Below are 22162 nucleotides of genomic sequence, written 5' to 3' on the forward strand. Positions count from 1 at the left end.
CCCCAGCTCTAAGAGATAGAGCATGGTGAGGAGCAGGAGAGAGTGGCTGGTAAGAAAAGGACATGTATGACTGTAATCCACAGTATGAGAAGTGCTTATGAGACATCTAAACCCAGGCTATGGGGTTTCAAAGGAAGAGAATGTGAGATTAAGGGGAATACGAAACACTTCATGGAAGTGGACCTTGAAGAATAAATATGATACATTGTAGAACATTCAGGATTGCTCCATACCTTGCTTTCTTTGCTTGTTCTTTAATAATTTAATCAATAAAAAGCACTAATTCTTTATGGACAGTAGATTTCTGTATGAAATGGTACCGCGGCGATTGCCTGTTAATAATAAACTGCCATTGGATGACAGTCTTCCATATATTAATTTTCAAATTTAATTCTTACAGGTGTTATATGATTTCTATTTTCTTAAATCTCAGAAGGGTTTAGTGGCTTTCATAAGATAACACAATTACAGTAGATCATAGCTAAGTTTCATATTCATTTTGACAGAGTTTAAAGCTTATGCTGTTGACCTCTATATCAAACTGGCCTAATGTAAAACCCAACAATATTTGACTCATTAATTTTTCTGAGTTTAGCCCTAATCCATTAAAATTCACTTAGGTTGAAATTATTCTAATCTAGGTAATCCCTGATAAAAAAATAAATTTATCTGTGAATATGCCTAAATTTGTGCACCCCGATGGGATGAATATCCAACTCGTTATCTGGATTGGTGCTTACTACATTCAGTAATTTTTTTGAGTCCTGAAAGACTACTTTGGGCCTCTTTAACTCACACATTCCAGGAGAATTCTGGAAGTAGTCTAGAAGCAGTTTTCTTCATCTTTTAGGAGTATAGCCCCAAGTGATTCTTGAAGAGACCAGTATTATCTTTGTGCTGATTCATATGCCTTGAACATATGGCCCATTTTCAGACACCCTGGCTGTCTGTATAGAGTTGTAGCAGGCAGTGTTAGTACATTCATGTTGTGGTTATTAAGTCAGTATTAAAATGGATAACAATGAAAGACTAGATTTCCTACACTGAAGTTGTATTAATTTGAATTAATTTTATAATTATAAAAAATAGCAGCAAGGAAATGCAGATAAACAAAAAAAGAAAAAAAAAGTAGCAAACAATAAAAATGTCCTACCAAAAAGGATGTTGAAGGGAATTTGGGGAGCATGTGATTGTGTCTATGTGTGTGTTAAAGCCTTAGTTCCTGAGGTTTGGGTTTATTCAGGCCAGTGTCATTTCACAGATAGCATATCTAAAAAGGTACCAAAAATGATTCAGCTCCCAAGATTTAGAGGGAATGGCACCAACCAAAGAATTGCTGGCCTGGCTGAATCATGACTTTCATAAATTTACAGAACCTGTAACAGCCTGTCAAAATCATGTCTGCTCTTTCAGACTTAGCTAAATTGTATGTTCTCTAATTATAAACCCAGTTTTTCTTTCCTTATCATTGACTTTAGAACTCTTTTAAGATACTCTGTGTTCTTCTCCCTTTTCTTATGTCCCATATCCCATAAACAACATAAGCTCTTTAGATTCTCATTTGAATATCCTTGTAATTTGATCTCTCTCTCCTTCCCAGTAAACACCTTCATATAATTTGGGATCCCTCTAGAAAAAAACCCTTTGTACTCACTACTCCCACCTTCCTTTTACTTTCCAGAATATGTCTTTACAGCACAGTTGATCCTCACTTAGAATGCCTTTCCTCCCCAGTCAGTGAGTACTCAAATCCTGTGTAATCTTTAAAAGCTATTTAGCTCAAATGTCTACTCCCCGCCATCTTCCCCAAACCCGCATTTAGGAATCACTTCCCCCTCTTTGGAAATCACATAGCATAATATTTGGATTATTCCTATAGCACTTCTGATGTTCTTCATTCAAAACCTGCATACCTATGTTATCTTCTCCAGCAGACTGTTAACTTCCTGGAGGGCTAGGCTGTTTTTCTTTCATCTTTGCATTTCTCAGGGTGCCAAACTCAGTGCCTTTCTGCAGCTACTCAGGAAATGTTGAATCAATGAATGAGTGTTTTATCTGTGACTGTATTATCTTTCCAACTAGGCTGGAAGCTGCTTGAATGCAAAAATTTTTTCCTATTTATCATAGTATCTTTTAAAGTACCTTGGCCTATAGCTTATGCAATTAATATTAACTGAGTCAATGACAAAGCTAGTCTGACTAGCTATTACTGTTTATGTAGAAGGATTTGTGCCCCCTTATCTTTCTTTTTTTTTTTTATTTTTTTTTTTATTTTTTCCCAATGCTATCCCTCCCCCCTCCCCCGACCCCACCACAGTCCCCAGAGTGTGATATTCCCCTTCCTGTGTCCATGTGATCTCATTGTTCAATTCCCACCTATGAGTGAGAATATGCGGTGTTTGGTTTTTTGTTCTTGCGATAGTTTACTGAGAATGATGGTTTCCAATTTCATCCATGTCCCTACAAAGGATATGAACTCATCATTTTTTATGGCTGCATAGTATTCCATGGTGTATATGTGCCACATTTTCTTAATCCAGTCTATCATTGTTGGACATTTGGGTTGGTTCCAAGTCTTTGCTATTGTGAATAGTGCCGCAATAAACATACGTGTGCATGTGTCTTTATAGCAGCATGATTTATACTCATTTGGGTATATACCCAGTAATGGGATGGCTGGGTCAAATGGTATTTCTAGTTCTAGATCCCTGAGGAATCGCCACACTGACTTCCACAATGGTGGAACTAGTTTACAGTCCCACCAACAGTGTAAAAGTGTTCCTATTTCTCCGCATCCTCTCCAGCACCTGTTGTTTCCTGACTTTTTAATGATTGCCATTCTAACTGGTGTGAGATGGTATCTCATAGCGGTTTTGATTTGCATTTCTCTGATGGCCAGTGATGATGAGCATTTCTTCATGTGTTTTTTGGCTGCATAAATGTCTTCTTTTGAGAAGTGTCTGTTCATGTCCTTCGCCCACTTTTTGATGGGGTTGTTTGTTTTTTTCTTGTAAATTTGTTTGAGTTCATTGTAGATTCTGGATATTAGCCCTTTGTCAGATGAGTAGGTTGCGAAAATTTTCTCCCATGTTGTAGGTTGCCTGTTCACTCTGATGGTAGTTTCTTTTGCTGTGCAGAAGCTCTTTAGTTTAATTAGATCCCATTTGTCAATTTTGTCTTTTGTTGCCATTGCTTTTGGTGTTTTGGACATGAAGTCCTTGCCCACGCCTATGTCCTGAATGGTAATGCCTAGGTTTTCTTCTAGGGTTTTTATGGTTTTAGGTCTAACGTTTAAATCTTTAATCCATCTTGAATTGATTTTTGTATAAGGTGTAAGGAAGGGATCCAGTTTCAGCTTTCTACATATGGCTAGCCAGTTTTCCCAGCACCATTTATTAAATAGGGAATCCTTTCCCCATTGCTTGTTTTTCTCAGGTTTGTCAAAGATCAGATAGTTGTAGATATGCGGCATTATTTTTGAGGCCTCTGTTCTGTTCCATTGATCTATATCTCTGTTTTGGTACCAGTACCATGCTGTTTTGGTTACTGTAGCCTTGTAGTATAGTTTGAAGTCAGGTAGTGTGATGCCTCCAGCTTTGTTCTTTTGGCTTAGGATTGACTTGGCAATGCAGGCTCTTTTTTGATTCCATATGAACTTTAAAGTAGTTTTTTCCAATTCTGTGAAGAAAGTCATTGGTAGCTTGATGGGGATGGCATTGAATCTGTAAATTACCTTGGGCAGTATGGCCATTTTCACGATATTGATTCTTCCTACCCATGAGCATGGAATGTTCTTCCATTTGTTTGTGTCCTCTTTTATTTCCTTGAGCAGTGGTTTGTAGTTCTCCTTGAAGAGGTCCTTCACATCCCTTGTAAGTTGGATTCCTAGGTATTTTATTCTCTTTGAAGCAATTGTGAATGGGAGTTCACCCATGATTTGGCTCTCTGTTTGTCTGTTGTTGGTGTATAAGAATGCTTGTGATTTTTGTACATTGATTTTGTATCCTCAGACTTTGCTGAAGTTGCTTATCAGCTTAAGGAGATTTTGGGCTGAGACGAGGGGGTTTTCTAGATAAACAATCATGTCGTCTGCAAACAGGGACAATTTGACTTCCTCTTTTCCTAATTGAATACCCTTTATTTCCTTCTCCTGCCTGATTGCCCTGGCCAGAACTTCCAACACTATGTTGAATAGGATTGGTGAGAGAGGGCATCCCTGTCTTGTGCCAGTTTTCAAAGGGAATGCTTCCAGTTTTTGCCCATTCAGTATGATATTGGCTGTGGGTTTGTCATAGATAGCTCTTATTATTTTGAAATACGTCCCATCAATACCTAATTTATTGAGAGTTTTTAGCATGAAGGGTTGTTGAATTTTGTCAAAGGCTTTTTCTGCATCTATTGAGATAATCATGTGGTTTTTGTCTTTGGCTCTGTTTATATGCTGGATTACATTTATTGATTTGCGTATATTGAACCAGCCTTGCATCCCAGGGATGAAGCCCACTTGATCATGGTGGATAAGCTTTTTGATGTGCTGCTGGATTCGGTTTGCCAGTATTTTATTGAGGATTTTTGCATCAATGTTCATCAAGGATATTGGTCTAAAATTCTCTTTTTTGGTTGTGTCTCTGCCCGGCTTTGGTATCAGAATGATGCTGGCCTCATAAAATGAGTTAGGGAGGATTCCCTCTTTTTCTATTGATTGGAATAGTTTCAGAAGGAAAGGTACCAGTTCCTCCTTGTACCTCTGGTAGAATTCAGCTGTGAATCCATCTGGTCCTGGACTCTTTTTGGTTGGTAAACTATTGATTATTGCCACAATTTCAGAGCCTGTTATTGGTCTATTCAGAGATTCAACTTCTTCCTGGTTTAGTCTTGGGAGAGTGTATGTGTCGAGGAATGTATCCATTTCTTCCAGATTTTCTAGTTTATTTGCGTAGAGGTGTTTGTAGTATTCTCTGATGGTAGTTTGTATTTCTGTGGGATCGGTGGTGATATCCCCTTTATCATTTTTTATTGTGTCTATTTGATTCTTCTCTCTTTTTTTCTTTATTAGTCTTGCTAGCGGTCTATCAATTTTGTTGATCCTTTCAAAAAACCAGCTCCTGGATTCATTGATTTTTTGAAGGGTTTTTTGTGTCTCTTTTTCCTTCAGTTCTGCTCTGATTTTAGTTATTTCTTGCCTTCTGCTAGCTTTTGAATGTGTTTGCTCTTGCTTTTCTAGTTCTTTTAATTGTGATGTTAGGGTGTCAATTTTGGATCTTTCCTGCTTTCTCTTGTAGGCATTTAGTGCTATAAATTTCCCTCTACACACTGCTTTGAATGCGTCCCAGAGATTCTGGTATGTGGTGTCTTTGTTCTCGTTGGTTTCAAAGAACATCTTTATTTCTGCCTTCATTTCGTTATGTACCCAGTAGTCATTCAGGAGCAGGTTGTTCAGTTTCCATGTAGTTGAGCGGCTTTGAGTGAGATTCTTAATCCTGAGTTCTAGTTTGATTGCACTGTGGTCTGAGAGATAGTTTGTTATAATTTCTGTTCTTTTACATTTGCTGAGGAGAGCTTTACTTCCAACTATGTGGTCAATTTTGGAATAGGTGTGGTGTGGTGCTGAAAAAAATGTATATTCTGTTGATTTGGGGTGGAGAGTTCTGTAGATGTCTATTAGGTCTGCTTGGTGCAGAGCTGAGTTCAATTCCTGGGTATCCTTGTTGACTTTCTGTCTCGTTGATCTGTCTAATGTTGACAGTGGGGTGTTAAAGTCTCCCATTATTAATGTGTGGGAGTCTAAGTCTCTTTGTAGGTCACTGAGGACTTGCTTTATGAATCTGGGTGCTCCTGTATTGGGTGCATAAATATTTAGGATAGTTAGCTCCTCTTGTTGAATTGATCCCTTTACCATTACGTAATGGCCTTCTTTGTCTCTTTTGATCTTTGTTGGTTTAAAGTCTGTTTTATCAGAGACTAGGATTGCAACCCCTGCCTTTTTTTGTTTTCCATTGGCTTGGTAGATCTTCCTCCATCCTTTTATTTTGAGCCTATGTGTGTCTCTGCACGTGAGATGGGTTTCCTGAATACAGCACACTGATGGGTCTTGACTCTTTATCCAACTTGCCAGTCTGTGTCTTTTAATTGGAGCATTTAGTCCATTTACATTTAAAGTTAATATTGCTATGTGTGAATTTGATCCTGTCATTATGATGTTAGCTGGTGATTTTGCTCATTAGTTGATGCAGTTTCTTCCTAGTCTCGATGGTCTTTACATTTTGGCATGATTTTGCAGCGGCTGGTACCGGTTGTTCCTTTCCATGTTTAGCGCTTCCTTCAGGAGCTCTTTTAGGGCAGGCCTGGTGGTGACAAAATCTCTCAGCATTTGCTTGTCTATAAAGTATTTTATTTCTCCTTCACTTATGAAGCTTAGTTTGGCTGGATATGAAATTCTGGGTTGAAAATTCTTTTCTTTAAGAATGTTGAATATTGGCCCCCACTCTCTTCTGGCTTGTAGGGTTTCTGCCGAGAGATCCGCTGTTAGTCTGATGTTGTGCCCCCTTATCTTTCTTACCATCCTGCTGATTCATTCCTATGAGTGCCTCACCCTGACTGCTTCTCACCCAAGTGTTTTTTCTGTGTATATGTTAAAGGAAGCATTTTTCAAGGAAACGTGCATTTTATTTTATTTCCCCTCTGAGAGAAAACTACTTTCATTTTAGGTATTTATTTATGGTTTTTTTTTTTTTTTTTTGCTGTGCTGTATATAATATCCATGTGGTCAGTTGATGCCTTTTAGTATTCCCTTTGTTTTAGTGTGTGGGATAGTAGTGTGCATGTGGGCATTTGCTATTTGATTACTTGCAGGCTCTATATTAAATTACTAATGAGAATAATTAGTATTGTTCCATTGTAATACAGTAATTAGAAATTATCTTATTTATGCCAGGTGCGGTGGCTCACGCCTGTAATCCCAGCACTTTGAGAGGCCGAGGCGGGTGGATCATGGGGTCGGGAGAACGAGACCATCCTGGCTAACACGGTGAAACCCTGTCTCTACTAAAAAAACAAAAAATTAGCCGGGCATAGTGGCGGGCGCCTGTAGTCCTGGCTACTCGGGAGGCTGAGGCAGGAGAATGGCGTGAACCTGGGAGGCGGAGCTTGCAGTGAGCGGAGATCATGCCACTGCACTCCAGCCTGGGTGACAGAGCAAGACTCCGTCTCAAAAAAAAAAAAAAAAAAAAAAAAAAGAAATTATCTTATTTACTTGAAGTGTTGTTTAGTAAGGTGCTAAATACCTTTCTAATTCTCTCTCCTTACCTGTGGAAAACTTGCTTAACTCCACAGACTTGTAAGGATCAAATAAGATAATGAATGTAAAGCCTCCATCTAAATGTATAGTATTTTCTAGAAACTACAGGAACACTATCAAAAAGTTTTTTTGTGGGACAGGGCAGTTAGTAGAGAAATGTTGTGAATTAGAAAGAGCCTTTCTATCAATTTTGCATTTCTATAAGCTATGTTGAGAATAAAATCAGATGTTTTATACTTGGGAAGAGACAATCTTTTGGAAAATATGTAGAGGCAGACCTGTCCATACAGAAAGTGCAGTATTCTGAGAGAGAATTTTGATATTAGCTAGATACAAGATACAACCACCCCCACACACACAAAAAAATCCTTTTTTATAGTGTACATGTAGTTTCTAGAAAATACTATACATTTGGATGGAATATTTACATTCATTATCTTATTTGATCCTTACAAGTCTGTGGAGTTAAGTTCTCCACAAGTAAGGGTAGATAATCAGAAAGATATTTAGTACCTTACTAAACATCCCTGCAAGAAATAAGGTAATTTCTTAATTAGCAACTCTTTGTATATGCTCCATCTTGTTACATAAAATGGATAACAACCTCATTACAGGTACACCTTGGGAATATTACAGGTTTGGTTCCAGGCCACCTCAATAAAGCAAGTATCGTAATCAAGCAAGTTGCATGAACTTTTTGGTTTCTCAGTACATACAAAACTTACATTTACACTATACAGTAGTCTGTGAAGTGTATACAACATTATGTCTTTAAAAATATACATTCCTTAAATATTTTATTGCTAAAAATGCTAACAGTCATTCAAGCCTTTATCAGGTCATGCTCTTTTTGCTGGCAGAGTGTCTTTCCTTCGTGATTGTGGCCACTGAGTGATCAGGGTGGCAGTTGCTGACGGTTGGAGTGGCTGCGACATTTTCTTAAAATAAGACAACAAAGAAGTTTGCTGCATCAACTGACTCTTCCTTTCAGGAAAGATAGCATGTGATGCTGTTTGATAGCATTTAACCCATAGTAGAATATCTTTCAAAATTGTCTTCAGTCTTCTCAAGCCATGCTTCTGTTTTATCAACTAAGTGTGTGTAATATTCTAAATCCTTTGTTGTCATTTCAACAGTGTTCACAGTATCATCACCAGAAGTAGATTCCATCTCAGTAAACCACTTTCTTTGCTAATTCATAAGGAGCAATTCCTTATCTGTTCAGGTTTGATAATGAGATTTCAGCAATTCAATCACATCTTCAGATCCCACTTCTAATTCTAATAATTCTCTTGCTGTTTCCACCACATCTGCAGTTATTTCCTCCACTGAAATCTTGAACCCCCAAAAGTCATCTGTGAGGGCTGGAATCAACTTCTTCCAAACTCCTGTTCATCTTGATATTTTGACCCCTGCCCATGAATCACAAATGTTATTTGGTACAGTGAGAATACATACAACATAATATCGATTAGGATTGCCATCCTATTATATGGGTGTGGTTTGTGGCACCCCACAACAATTATAATAGTAACATCAAAGATCACTGATCACAGATCACCATAACAGATATAACCTTAATGAAAAAGTTTGAAATATTGCAAGAATTACCAAAATGTGACACACAACCACAAAATGTGTCTATGCTGTTGGAAAAATGGCACGGGTAGACTTGCTTGACACAGGTTTGCTACAAACCTTCAATTTGTAAAAAATGCAGCATCTTTGAAGTGCAGTAAAGTGAAGTGCAATAAAATGAGGTATGACCATGTAAGAAGAAACTTTAAATTAAAAAAGAACTTCTTACTTGTGTTAAATATTTTTCCTTCTTTGTTTCAACTGAAGTGCTGTGTATGATATCTGAAGACTGTCTCAATTTGACTTCAACTCTTGGAATTAAGTAAAGACTTCATGCTTCATATGAAATATGTGAAGCATGTTTTCTCTTTTTAAGGATTGGAGAGTTTTAGTAATTTATTTATATTAAAGTGCTGTATTAGTCAGAGTCCTAGCAGGAAACAGACGGCAAACCTTAAAATGAATTAATAAAACAAAGTTTAATGAAGCAACTAGTTACAAAGGAGTGAGCAGCATTAAGGAAACCAACCAGAGATGGTGACATACCTAGGGACTAGTGACAGTACAAGTTGTTATTGCCCTTCCACTGGAAAGGGCAAGGGAGTGAACTGTCTTAGTGGAACTTGGAGCCTGCTGGAGCCATGGAAAAGGGGCTGCCTGATAGAAGAAGCTATGGCTCTTGCCAGAACTGCTACAAGGCAGGAAGGAGTGGTGGGTGAGGTAGGTAATAAAACTTCAAATTCTTTCTCCTCCCACAGTCTCATCTCCTTTTGTCCCTCCTGATAGTGGATCCCCATTGAGAGCCAGAAGGCAAGGAAACTTAGGTGATACAGTCCACAGAGGTCAACTCTTGGGGGACTGATCAGGGCAGAGGGCATTTGGGCAGAGTTTGAGGGGCACAGAGGGAGACTACAGCAAGTGGAATAACTAACACAACATTGCTCCTTCATGGTTATAATTGTGAATTAACAGCTTGAGATAGATGAAGTACAAAGAAAGAGGACAGAATTTCTGCCCTCTAAAAGATTGTAAGCTAATTTAGACACCAGTAGTACAGTCAAATTAGTGAAAATTGATACTGTCACAAAGCAAAATTATACTGTCATTAAACCTACAAACAGAATATTTATGTTGTAGATGAGCAGTGATGCAAGCATATTTTGTGTAATGGGGAGTAATAGATGGAAGAGTTTATTTTGATAGGTTAGTTAGAAAAAAGTTCCCCTTCACTTTATTAAGTAAAGATTGATATAGGAATGAAACTTTTGGAAATTGTTCTTATAATAGAAGGGACAAAGACTGAGCAACTGAGAGGGAAGCTATCATGATCCCTTCTTTGTTCCCTCTGTGTTCTTCCAGGGAACAGCAGAAGTGGTACAGGACACAGCTAGACAGTCCTAGTGTAAATCCTGTTTTGATTTCTTATCTCCTGGAGAGAGAGAAGCCACTGTGTATGACAGTAGTCAGCTAGTTAATATGTTGAATATTCATGGGCTCAAGAAAAGTTGCCCTAACAGTTTGGTGTGATACCATTGCTGTGGTTTGACTGTGTCCCACAAAAGTTCATGTGTTAGAAACTTATTTGCTAATGTAACATTATTAATAGGTGGGGACTTTAAGAAGTGATTGGGTCATCAGGGCTCTATCCTCATGAATAAACGAATGCCCTTATCCCAGGAATGAGTTAATTCTCAAGGGAGTTAATTAGTTCTTACAGGAGGGAGGGAGTTCTCTCCAGAGCAGGTTGTAATATAATAAAAACAAGTTTAACTTATTCTTAAGATCTCCTTAGCACACGATTTACTTGCCCTTCTTCTTCTTCTTCTTCTTTTTTTTTTTGACAGAGTCTTGCTCTGTCACCAGGCTGGAGTGCAGTGACATGATCTTGGCTCACTGCAGTCTCTGCCTCCTGGGTTCAAGCAATTCTCCTGCCTCAGCCTCCTGAGTAGCTGGGACTACAGGCGCGTGCCACCATGCCTGGCTAATTTTTTTGTATTTTTAGTAGAGACCGGGTTTCACCATGTTGGCCAGGATGGTCTTGATCTCCTGACCTCGTGATCCACCCACCTGGGCCTCCCAAAGTGCTGGGATTACAGGCGTGAGCCACCGTACCTGGCCGCCCTTCTTTTCTACACAATGTCATGACGTAGTGGGAAGGCTCTCCCCAGAAGTTGCTGCCATGCCCTTGGACTTCCCAGTCTACAGAGCAATGAGCCAAATAAACTTATTTTCCTTATAAATTAATTACCCAGTCTCAGATATTGTGTTATGGCAAAAGAAAATGAAATAAGACAATTGATAATGAGGTGATGTCCTTTCTACCTGTCTAGGACCTTTCCTATCTGGGCCCTGCTGATAGAAGGAAAGCCAGAGGTCTTTCTGTCTCTCATTCATTTAAATGAGATGAGATAGGAGTTTTAAATTAAGACATTGTAATATTTCAGTCATTGTTTAAAGTGAAAGGCATTTATTGTTTGTGAAAGGTGTCAGGCCTATTGTCACAGTGACTAAACTTCCATTCACTCATCAAAAATTCTTGAGAAAAAGTTAAACTTGCCTACCCTGATATTTTTCCTTCCATCAGCAGTTTACTTAATCAGTTATCTCTTTTATGGTAACCCTCTTTGACTGTCAGTTTGGACAATGGTTTCTGTAATGAAGAAACCTATTGGGGATTGGAGGATCAGACAGAAACTTATTGTTGCCAAGTTAAATAAATGAATGACCCATGCACCATTACTTTAAATAGTTTCCTTGATTGTTTGGCATTTACTCTTCCAAAGCAAAAGGAACATAGTAATTTCACTTAGGTAAACTAAATAAAATCTTTTATTTTTTTAAATAACTATTTTTTCACTTCCTATTTTCAAATTTGCTAGAGTAGTTCCTTAAAGGCATCTAATGCCAGTGTTTTGGAAAACATTGAAAATTCAAAGAAAAACATTTGGCTATTTTGGATTTTAGTGCTGTGTTTCCCCTAAAACTTTGTAATTTATAATGACCTCAAAATGTAGCTCTAAAAATAACTTTGCACCTTAAAGGTTCAGGAATTAGGACATTACGTTTCCTAATATTAAGGAATATTAAATCTTCATTAATGTTTTCAGTTTCCAGAACAGCACGTTAAAGGAGGCAATCAATTTTGGACTTTTTTCAAGCACACCGTCTTTCCATGCAAATGTTGGGCAGAGTTGTAATTAATAGATACTTGGCAAGAGTTGCATGATGTAGAAAGAGTTATTGTTGTATTCATCAAGTTAAAAAATTCTTTCTGAAATAAATTGGTTTTGTTGTTACACAAATTGTAACCAACTACTAGAAACTGCATTCCAGGGTTTCATCTTTTAAGACATTCCTGGAAATTCAGTTTGAAACTTCAGCCCTGGTTAGATTGGGAATCAAATTTATAAAATCAAATATAATGCCATTTACTAAATGCTTTCTATCTTTCTTTTCTTTTCCTCCTTCCTTTCGTTTCTTTCTTTGGGATGGAGTCTCTCTATATTGCACAGGCTGGTCTCAAACTCCCTGGTTCAAGGGATTCTCCCACCTTAGCCTCCCAAGTAACTGGGATTACAGGGATGCACCACCACACCTAACTCTCAATCTAAATTTAAGAAGAAATAAACTCTTTAGGGCTCTTGTATTTGGCTGAACATATATGAAATACAAAGGAAGGGACATAATTTCTGCCCTCTATGAGTTTGTAAGCTAATATAGACACTAGTAGTACAGTCAAATTAGTGAAAATTCATACTATCACAAGGCAAAATGGTACTGTCATTAAATCTATGAACAGAATATTTATATTGTAGATAACGAAGTATATTTTAAGTAGTGGGGAGTAGAAGTAATAGGTAGATGTTACAGTATATCAGTTAACAGTTCAAAAAATAGCTTGAGAATTAATAACTTCTGAAGTATGACATGAAAAGGAGCAGGATTTTAAAAGCTTCCCCAGATGATTCTTATTTAATCAGCTTTCAGAATCACTTGTCTAGACCAACCCATCTGATGTTTGAATTCCCTGAATACCTATCAAGAGGTCATCTAGCCTGTATTTGAATAGGAAGTTTCTGAGATAGTTCATTCAGTTTTGTCGTTTAAGAATTCTGGTGCAAAAACAGGCACATAGACCAATGGAACATAATAGAGAGCCCAGAAGTAAGGCCGCACATCTATGACCATTTGATCTTCAATAAGGCTGACAAAAAACAAGCAATGGGGAAAAGACTTCCTATTTAATCAATGTTGCTGGGATAACTGGCTATCCATAAGCAGAAGATTGAAGCTGGAACCCTCCCTTACACCATATACAAAAATCAACTCAAGATGGGTTAAAGACTTAAATGTAAAACCCAAAACTATCAAAACCCTGGAAGACAACCTAGCAATACCATCCTGGACATAGGAATGGCAAAGATTTCATGACAAAGATGCTAACAGCAATCACAACAAAAGCAAAAATTGGCAAAAGGGATCTAATTAAAATTAAGAGCTTCTGTCCAGCAAAAATAAACTATCAACAGAGTAAACAGACAGCCTACAGAATGGGAGAAAATATTCACAAACTATGCATCTGAAAAGGTCTAATATCCAGCATCTATTTACAAGACAAAAAAAAACATTAAAAAGTGGGCAAAGGACACGAACAGACACTTTTCAAAAGAAGGCATGCATGCAGCCAACAAGCATATGAATAAAAGCTCAACATCACTGATCACTAGAGAAATGCAAATCAAAACCACAATGAGATATCATCTCACACCAGTCAGAATGGCTGTTATTAATACAAAGTCGAAAAATAACAGATGCTGATGAGATTGCAGAGAAAAGGGAACACTTATACACTGTTGGTGAGAGTGTAAATTAGCTCAACCATTGTGGAAAGCAGTATGGTGATTCCTCAAAGAGCTAAAGACAGAACTATCATTCAACCTAGCAGTCCCATTACTGGGAGTATACCTGAAGGAATGTGAATCATTCTGTCATAAAGACACATGCACGTGTACATTTGTTGCACTACTACTCACAATAGCAAAGATATGGAATCAACCTAAATGCCTATCAATGGTAGACTGAATAAAGAAAATATGCTATATACACACCATGGAATACTGTGCATCCATAAAAAAAGAATGTTCCTTTGCGGGGACATGGATGGAGCTGGAGGCCATTATCCTTAACTACCTAATGCAGGAATAAAAAAACACCCCATGTTCTCACTTATAAGTGGGAAGTAATAATGAGAACACATGGACACAAAGAGGGGAACAACACACTGGGGCCTCTCAGAGGGTGAAGGGTGGGAGGAAGGAGAGGAGCTGAAAAAAAGTAACTATTGGGTATTAGGCTTAATACGTGGGTGATGAAATAATCTGTACAACAAACCCCCATGACACAGGTTTACCTATATAACAAAACTTCACATGTAACCCCGAACCTAAAATAAAAATTAAAAAATTTTGGGGGGCATTTCCTTCATGATATGCCAGACAGATAAAATTCCTTAATGTCTTAAAGTTCAGTGAAGAGTATAATGACCAATATGTGGTCAGGTTCTTACTAAAAACCACTTTTAAATTCATTAAACATTTATATGTAGAAAAAAATACAAATCCCACAGTTTAAAAAGTTGTGCACTTGGTCATAGATGTTAGAAATTTGATCAGGATCTGAAATGTAGCTCTGAAGAATGCCTTCACATCTTAAGTATGACAGTATTTGGAAATAGATCAAAGCTTTCCATATAAAGTCTCTGTCTCTATTCCTTTATTTCCTGAAAAATACCTGGTTAAATAAAGTTAGGGTAATGGTAATCAGAGAGCAGCAGTTCTCCTCTCTGGAGTTTTTTTTAGAGAAAGAATATGTATAAAAAGGAATGTGTTCTGTTATTAAAAGGTCTTTGGTATTGGTTTGCTGCAGTCATGAGCAAGCTGAGCTATATGTGCATCACAATTTAAAATGCAAAATATTTAACCTTAGAGTTCAACATGAACAAACACTGGAAACCAAAATAGTTTTTTCAGTTGTAGAGCCATATGTGTACAAGTAAGCTCCCCAAGGTGTTTGCTGATCAGTATAAAGATAGATTCAAGACTGGAAAAATACAAGGGTTTTATCTTTTCTTTTTTCTGTTTTATTTATTTTATTATTTTTTTGAAGGATTTTTCTTATTATACTTTAAGTTCTAGGGTACATGTGCACAACGTGCAGGTTTGTTACATATGTGTATACATGTGCCGTGTTGGTTAGCTGCACCCATTAACTCGTCATTTACATTAGGTATTTCTACTACTGCTATCCCTCTCCCATCCCCCCACACCACGACAGGCCCAGGTATGTGATGTTCCCCACCCTGTGTCCAAGTGTTCTCATTGTTCAATTCCCACCTATCAGTGAGAACATGCAGTGTTTGGTTTTCTGTCCTTGTGATAGTTTGCTCTGAATGATGGTTTCTAGTTTCATCCATGTCGCTACACAGGACATGAACTCATCCTTTTTTATGGCTGCATAGTATTCCATGGTGTATATGTGCCACATTTTCTTAATCCAGTCTATCACTGATGGACATTTGGGTTGGTTCCAAGTCTTTGCTATTGTGAATAGTGCCACAATAAACATATGTGTGCATGTGTCTTTATAGCAGCATGCTTTATAATCCTTTGGGTATATACCCAGTAATGGGATGGCTGGGTCAAATGGTGTTTCTAGTTTTAGATCCTTGAGGAATCGCCACACTGTCTTCCACAATGGTTGAACTAGTTTACATTCCCACCAACAGTGTAAAAGCATTCCTGTTTCTCTACATACTCCCCAGCATCTGTTGTTTCCTGACTTTTTAATGATTGCCATTCTAACTGGTGTGAGGTGGTATCTCATTGTGGTTTTGATTTGCATTTCTCTGATGACCAGTGATGATGAGCATTTTTTCATGTGTCTGTTGGCTGCATAAATGTCTTCTTTTGAGAAGTGTCTGTTCATATCCTTTGCCCACTTTTTGATGGGGTTGTTTGTTTTTTCCTTGAAAATTGGCTTACGTTCTTTGTAGATTCTGGATATTAGCCCTTTGTCAGATGAGTAGATTGCAAAAATTTTCTCCCATTCTGTAGGTTGCCTGTTCACTCTGATGGTAGTTTCTTTTGCTGTGCAGAAGCTCTTTAGTTTAATTAGATCCCATTTGTCAATTTTTCCTTTTGTTGCCATTGCTTTTGGTGTTTTAGTCATGAAGTCCTTACCTGTGCTTATGTCCTCAATGGCGTTGCCTAGGTTTTCTTCTAGGGTTTTTATGGTTTTAGGTCTAACATTTAAGTCTTTAATCCATCTTGAATTAATTTTTGTATAAGGTGTAAGGAAGGGATCCAGTTTCAGCTTTGTACATATGGCTAGCCAGTTTTCCCAGCACCATTTATTAAATAGGGAATCCTTTCCCCATTTCTTGTTTTTGTTAGGTTTGTCAAAGATCAGATGGTTGTAGATGTGTGGTATTATTTCTGAGGGCTCTGTTCTGTTCCATTGATCTATATCTCTGTTTTGGTACCAGTACCATGCTGTGTTGGTTACTGTATCCTTGTACTACAGTTTGAAGTCAGGTGGCGTGATGCCTCCAACTTCGTTCTTTTGGCTTAGGATTGACTTGGCGATGCGGACTCTTTTTTGGTTTCATATGAACTTGAAAGTAGTTTTTTCCAGTTCTGTGAAGAAAGTCATTGGTAGCTTGATGGGGATGGCATTGAATCTATAAATTCCCTTGGGCAGTATGGCCATTTTCACGATATTGATTCTTCCTATCCATGAGCATGGAATGTTCTTCCATTTGTTTGTATCCTCTTTTATTTCATTGAGCAGTGGTTTGTAGTTCTCCTTGAAGAGGTCCTTCACATCCCTTGTCAGTGGGATTCCTAGATATTTTATTCTCTTTGTAGCAATTGTGAATGGGATTCACTCACGATTTGGCTCTCTGTCTGTTATTTGTGTATACGAATGCTTGTGATTTTTGCACATTGATTTTGTATCCTGAGACTTTGCTGAAGTTGCTTATCAGCTTAAGGAGATTTTGGGCTGAGACGATGGGGTTTTCTAGATATACAATCATGTCATCTGCAAACAGGGACAACTGGACTTCCTCTTTTCCTAATTGAATACCCTTCATTTCTTTCTCTTGCCTGATTGCCCTGGCCAGAACTTCCAACACTGTTGAATAGGAGTGGCGAGAGAGGGTATCCCTGTCTTGTGCCAGTTTTCAAAGGGAATGCTTCCAGTTTTTGCCCATTCAGTATGATACTGGCTGTGGGTTTGTCATAAATAGCTCTTATTATTTTGAGATATTTTCCATCAATACCAAATTTATTGAGAGTTTTTAGCATGAAGGGCTGTTGAATTTTGTCAAAGGCCTTTTCTGCATCTATTGAGATAATGATGTGGTTTTTCTCTTTCGTTCTGTTTATGTGATGGATTACGTTTATTGATTTGCATATGTTGGACCAGCCTTGTATCCCAGGGATGAATCCAACTTGATCATGGTGGATAAGCTTTTTGATGTGCTGCTGGATTCGGTTTGCCAGTATTTTATTGAGGATTTTTGCATCGATGTTCATCAGGGATATTGGTCTAAAATTCTCTTTTTTTGTTTTGTCTCTGCCAGGTTTTGGTATCAGGATGATGCTGGCCTCATAAAATGAGTTAGGGAGGATTCCCTCTTTTTCTTCTGATGGGAATAGTTTCAGAAGGAATGGTACCAGCTCCTCTTTGTACTTCTGATAGAATTCGGCTGTGAATCTGTCTGGTCCTGGACATTTTTCGGTTGGTAGGCTATTAATTATTGCCTCAATTTCAGAGCCTGTTACTCGCTATTCAGAGATTCAGCTTCTTCCTGGTTTAGTCTTAGGAGGGTGTATGTGTTCAGGAATTTATCCATTTCTTCTAGACTTTCTAGTTTATTTCTGTAGAGGTGTTTATAGTATTCTCTGATGGTAGTTTGTATTTCTATGGGATTGGTGGTGATATCACCTTTATCATTTTTTATTGTGTCTTTTTGATTCTTCTCTCTTTTCTTCTTTATTAGTCTTGCTAGCAGTCTGTCAATTTTGTTGATCTTTTCAAAAAACCAGCTCCTGGATTCATTGATTTTTTGAAGGGTTTTTTGTGTCTCTATTTCCTTCAGTTCTGCTCTGATCTTAGTTATTTCTTGCCTTCTGCTAGTTTTTGAATGTGTTTGCTCTTGCTTCTCTAGTTCTTTTAATCGTGATGTTAGGGTGTCAATTTTAGATCTTCCCTGCTTTCTCTTGTGGGCATTTAGTTCTATAAATTTCCCTCTACACACTGCTTTAAATGTGTCCCAGAGATTCTGGTACGTTATGTCTTTGTTCTCATTGGTTTCAAAGAACATTTTTATTTCTGCCTTCATTTCGTTATGTACCCAGTAGTCATTCAGGAGCAGGTTGTTAAGTTTCCATGTAGTTGTGTAGTTTTGAGTGAGTTTCTTAATCCTGAGTTCTAATTTGATTGCACTGTGGTCTGATAGATAGTTTGTTGTGATTTCTGTTCTTTTACATTTGCTGAGGAGAGCTTTACTTCCAACTATGTGGTCAATTTTGGAATAAGTGTGATGTGGTGCTGAGAAGAATGTATATTCTGTTGATTTGGGGCGGAGAGTTCTGTAGATGTCTATTAGGTCCTCTTGGTGCAGAGCTGAGTTCAAGTCCTGGATATCCTTGTTAACCTTATGTCTTGTTGATCTGTCTAATGTTGACAGTGGGGTGTTAAAGTCTCCCATTATTATTGTGTGGGAGTCTAAGTCTCTTTTTAGGTCTCTTGGGGCTTGCTTTATGAATCTGGGTGCTCCTGTATTGGGTGCATATATATTTAGAATAGGTAGCTCTTCTTGTTGAATTGTTCCCTTTACCATTATGTAATGGCCGTCTTTGTTTCTTTTTATCTTTGTTGGTTTAAAGTCTGTTTTATCAGAGTCTAGGATTGCAACCCCTGTTGTTTTTTGTTTTCCATTTGCTTGGTAGATCTTCCTCCATCCCTTTATTTTGAGCCTATGTATGTCTCTGCATGTGAGATGGGTCTCCTGAATACAGCACACTGATGGGTCTTGACTCTTTGTCCAGTTTGCCAGTCTGTGTCTTTTAAATGGGGCATTTAGCCCATTTACATTTAAGGTTAACATTGTGATGTGTGAATTTGATCCTGTCATTATGATGTTAGCTGATTATTTTGTCCATTAGTTGATGCAGTTTCTTCCTAGCATCAATGGTCTTTACACTTTGGCATGTTTTTGCAGTGGCTGGTACTTATTGTTCCTTTCCATGTTTAGTGCTTCCTTCAGGAGCTTTTGTAAGGCAGGCCTGTTGGTGACAAAATCTCTCAGCATTTGCTAGTCTGTAAAGGATTTTATTTCTCCTTCCCTTATGAAGCTTAGTTTGGCTGGATATGAAATTCTGGGTTGAAAATTCTTTTCTTAAAGAATGTTGAATATTGGCCCCCACTCTCTTCTGGCTTGTAGGGTTTCTGGCGAGAGATCCACTGTTAGTCTGATGGGCTTCCCTTTGTGGTTAACCCGCCCTTTCTCTCTGGCTGCCCTTAGCATTTTTTCCTTCATTTCAACCTTGGTGAATCTGATAATTATATGTCTTGGGGTTGCTCTTTTCAAGGAGTATATTTGTGGTGTTCTCTGTACTTCCTGAATTTGAATGTTGGCCTGCCTTGCTGGGCTGGGGAAGTTCTCCTGGATAATATCCTGAAGAGTGTTTTCCAGCTTGGTTCCATTCTCCCCATCACTTTCTAGTACACCAATTACATGTAGACTTGGTCTGTTCACATAGTCTCATATTTCTTGGAAGATTTGTTTGTTTCTTTTTACTCTTTTTTCTCTAAACTTCTCTTCTGGCTTCATTTCTTCAATTTGATCTTCAATCACTGATACCCTTTCTTCCACTTGATCGAATCGGCTACTGAAGCTTGTGCATGCATCACATAGTTCTTGTGCCATGGTTTTCAGCTCCTTCAGGTCACTTAAGGTCTTCTCTGCACTGTTTATTCAGTTAGCCATTCGTCTAATCTTTTTCAAGGTTTTTAGCTTCCTTACGATGGGTTCAAACCTCCTCCTGTAGCTCAGAGAAGTTTGTTATTACTGACTTTCTGAAGCCTACTTCTGTCAGCTTGTCAAAGTCATTCTTTGTCCTGCTTTGTTCCGTTGCTGGTGAGGAGTTGTGATCCTTTGGAGGAGAAGGAGTGCTCTGGTTTTTAGAATTTTTACCTTTTCTGCTCTGGTTTCTCTCCATCTTTGTGGTTTTATCTACCTTTGGTCTTTGATGATGTTGACCTACAGATGGGGTTTTTTTGTGGATGTCCTTTTTGTTGATGCTGATGCTATTCCTTTCTGTTTGTTAGTTTTTCTTCTACCAGTCAGGTCCCTCAGCTGCAGGTCTGTTTGATTTTGCTAGAAGTCCACTTCAGACCCTGTTTTCCTGGGTTTCACCAGCAGAGGCTGCAGAACAGCAAATATTGCAGAACAGCAAATATTGCTCCCTGATTCTTCCTCTGGAAGCTTCGTCTCAGAGGGGCACCTGGCTGTATGAGGTGTCAGTCGGCCCCTACTGGGAGGTGTCTCCAAATTAGGCTACATGGGGGTCATGGACCCACTTGAGGAGGTGGTCTGTCTGTTCTCAGAGTTCAAACACCATGCTGGGAGAACCACTGCTCTTTTCAGAGCTGTCAGACAGGGACGTTTAAGTCTGCAGAAGTTTCTGCTGCGTTTTGTTCAGCTATGCCCTGCCTCTAGAGGTGGAGCCTACAGAGACATTTGGGCCTCGTTGAGCTGTGGTGGGCTCCACCTAGTTCCAGCTTCTGGCCGCTTTGTTTACCTACTCAATCCTCAGCAATGGCAGACGCCCCTCCCCCAGCCAGGCTTGCCTCCTTGCAGTTGGATCTGGGACTAGCAGTGAACAAGACTCCGTGGGCAAGAGATCCGCTTAGCCAGGCGCGGGATGTAATCTCCTGGTGTGTAGTTTGCTGAGTCCATTGGAAAAGCACAGTGTTTAGGTGGCAGTGTCCTGATTTTCCCGGTACAGTCTGTCAGGGCTTCCCTTGGCTAGGAAAGGGAAATCCCCCGACCCCTTGCACTTCCCTGGTGAGGCGATGCCCCGCCCTGCTTCCACTTGCCCTCCTTGGCCTGCACCCACTTTCACACCAGTCCCAGTGAGATGAACCAGGTACCTCAGTTGGAAATGCAGAAATCACCCATCTCCTGTGTGGATCACACTGGGAGCTGCAGACCGGAGCTGTTCCTATTCGGCCATCTTGCAAGGGTTTTATCTTAACTTTACTGGAGACATCAGAAGGAGGAAGCAGGGAGGAGAGAGAAGGAGAATGAAGACAGACAGACAGACAGACAGAGACAGATATGCACGACAGAGCTGTCTGATTCTGATTCCATCCTAAGCGCTTTAAAATCCATGAAGGCCTCTTTTGTCCCCAGTGGTTCCTAAGTGAACTCATTCTGGATAGCTCTTGTTAGTTCTTTTTTTTTTTTTTTTTTTGAGGTGGAGTCTTGCTCTGTCGCCTAGGCTGGAGTGCAGTGTAGTGGTGTATCTCGGCTCACTGCAAGCCCTGCCTCCTGGGTTCACGCCATTCTCGTTTCAGCCTCCCAAGTAGCTGGGACTACAGGCACTTGCCACCACGCCTGGCTAATTTTTTTGTATTTTTAGCAGAGACGGGGTTTCACCATGTTAGCCAGGATGGTCTCAATCTCCTGACCTCATGATCTGCCTTCCTCGGCCTCCCGAAGTGCTGGGATTACAAGCGTGAGCCACCGTGCCCAGCCAGCTCTGGTTAATTCTTTATAGCGTCATTAAGATGAAGTGACTTGAAGCCCATTTAACTGTTCACTCCATTATACTGAAGAGCCAGTATTTGTCACTAAACAGCAGATATGTATCCAGATTTCTTTGGCGAACTTGTATTCTTTTTTGCTATACACACACACACACACACACACACACACATACATACATATATATATATACACACATACATATATACAGATATATATATATACACACACATACATCCATACACACACACACACACATACTTTAAGTCCTGGGATACATGTGCAGAACATGCAGGTTTGTTACATAGATATACATGTACCATGGTGGTTTCCTGCACCCATCAACCTGTCATCTACATTAGGTATTTCTCCTAATGCTATCTCTCCCCTGGCCCCCAACCTCTGACAGACCCTGGTGTGTGATATTCCATTCCCTATGTCCATGTTTT

The 22162-nt window shown here is 38.9% G+C and overlaps 1 protein-coding gene across 9 annotated transcripts in view, besides 1 other annotated feature; it reads left to right on the top strand.

The window, feature by feature from the left end:
• The window catches only part of NUBPL (NUBP iron-sulfur cluster assembly factor, mitochondrial), a 299821-nt gene that overhangs the window by 230179 nt on the left and 47480 nt on the right, over positions 1 to 22162 (top strand). The window lies entirely within an intron of this gene.
• Positions 1868 to 2068: a silencer, noted in NCBI's record as "peak2132 fragment used in MPRA reporter construct". NCBI's record gives its function as "represses an SCP1 promoter by STARR-seq MPRAs in K562 erythroleukemia cells {active_cell/tissue: K562}" and the evidence as "EXISTENCE:reporter gene assay evidence [ECO:0000049][PMID:32103011]".

This window comes from Homo sapiens, chromosome 14, assembly GCF_000001405.40.
Source record: "Homo sapiens chromosome 14, GRCh38.p14 Primary Assembly".
NCBI lineage: Eukaryota > Metazoa > Chordata > Mammalia > Primates > Hominidae > Homo > Homo sapiens.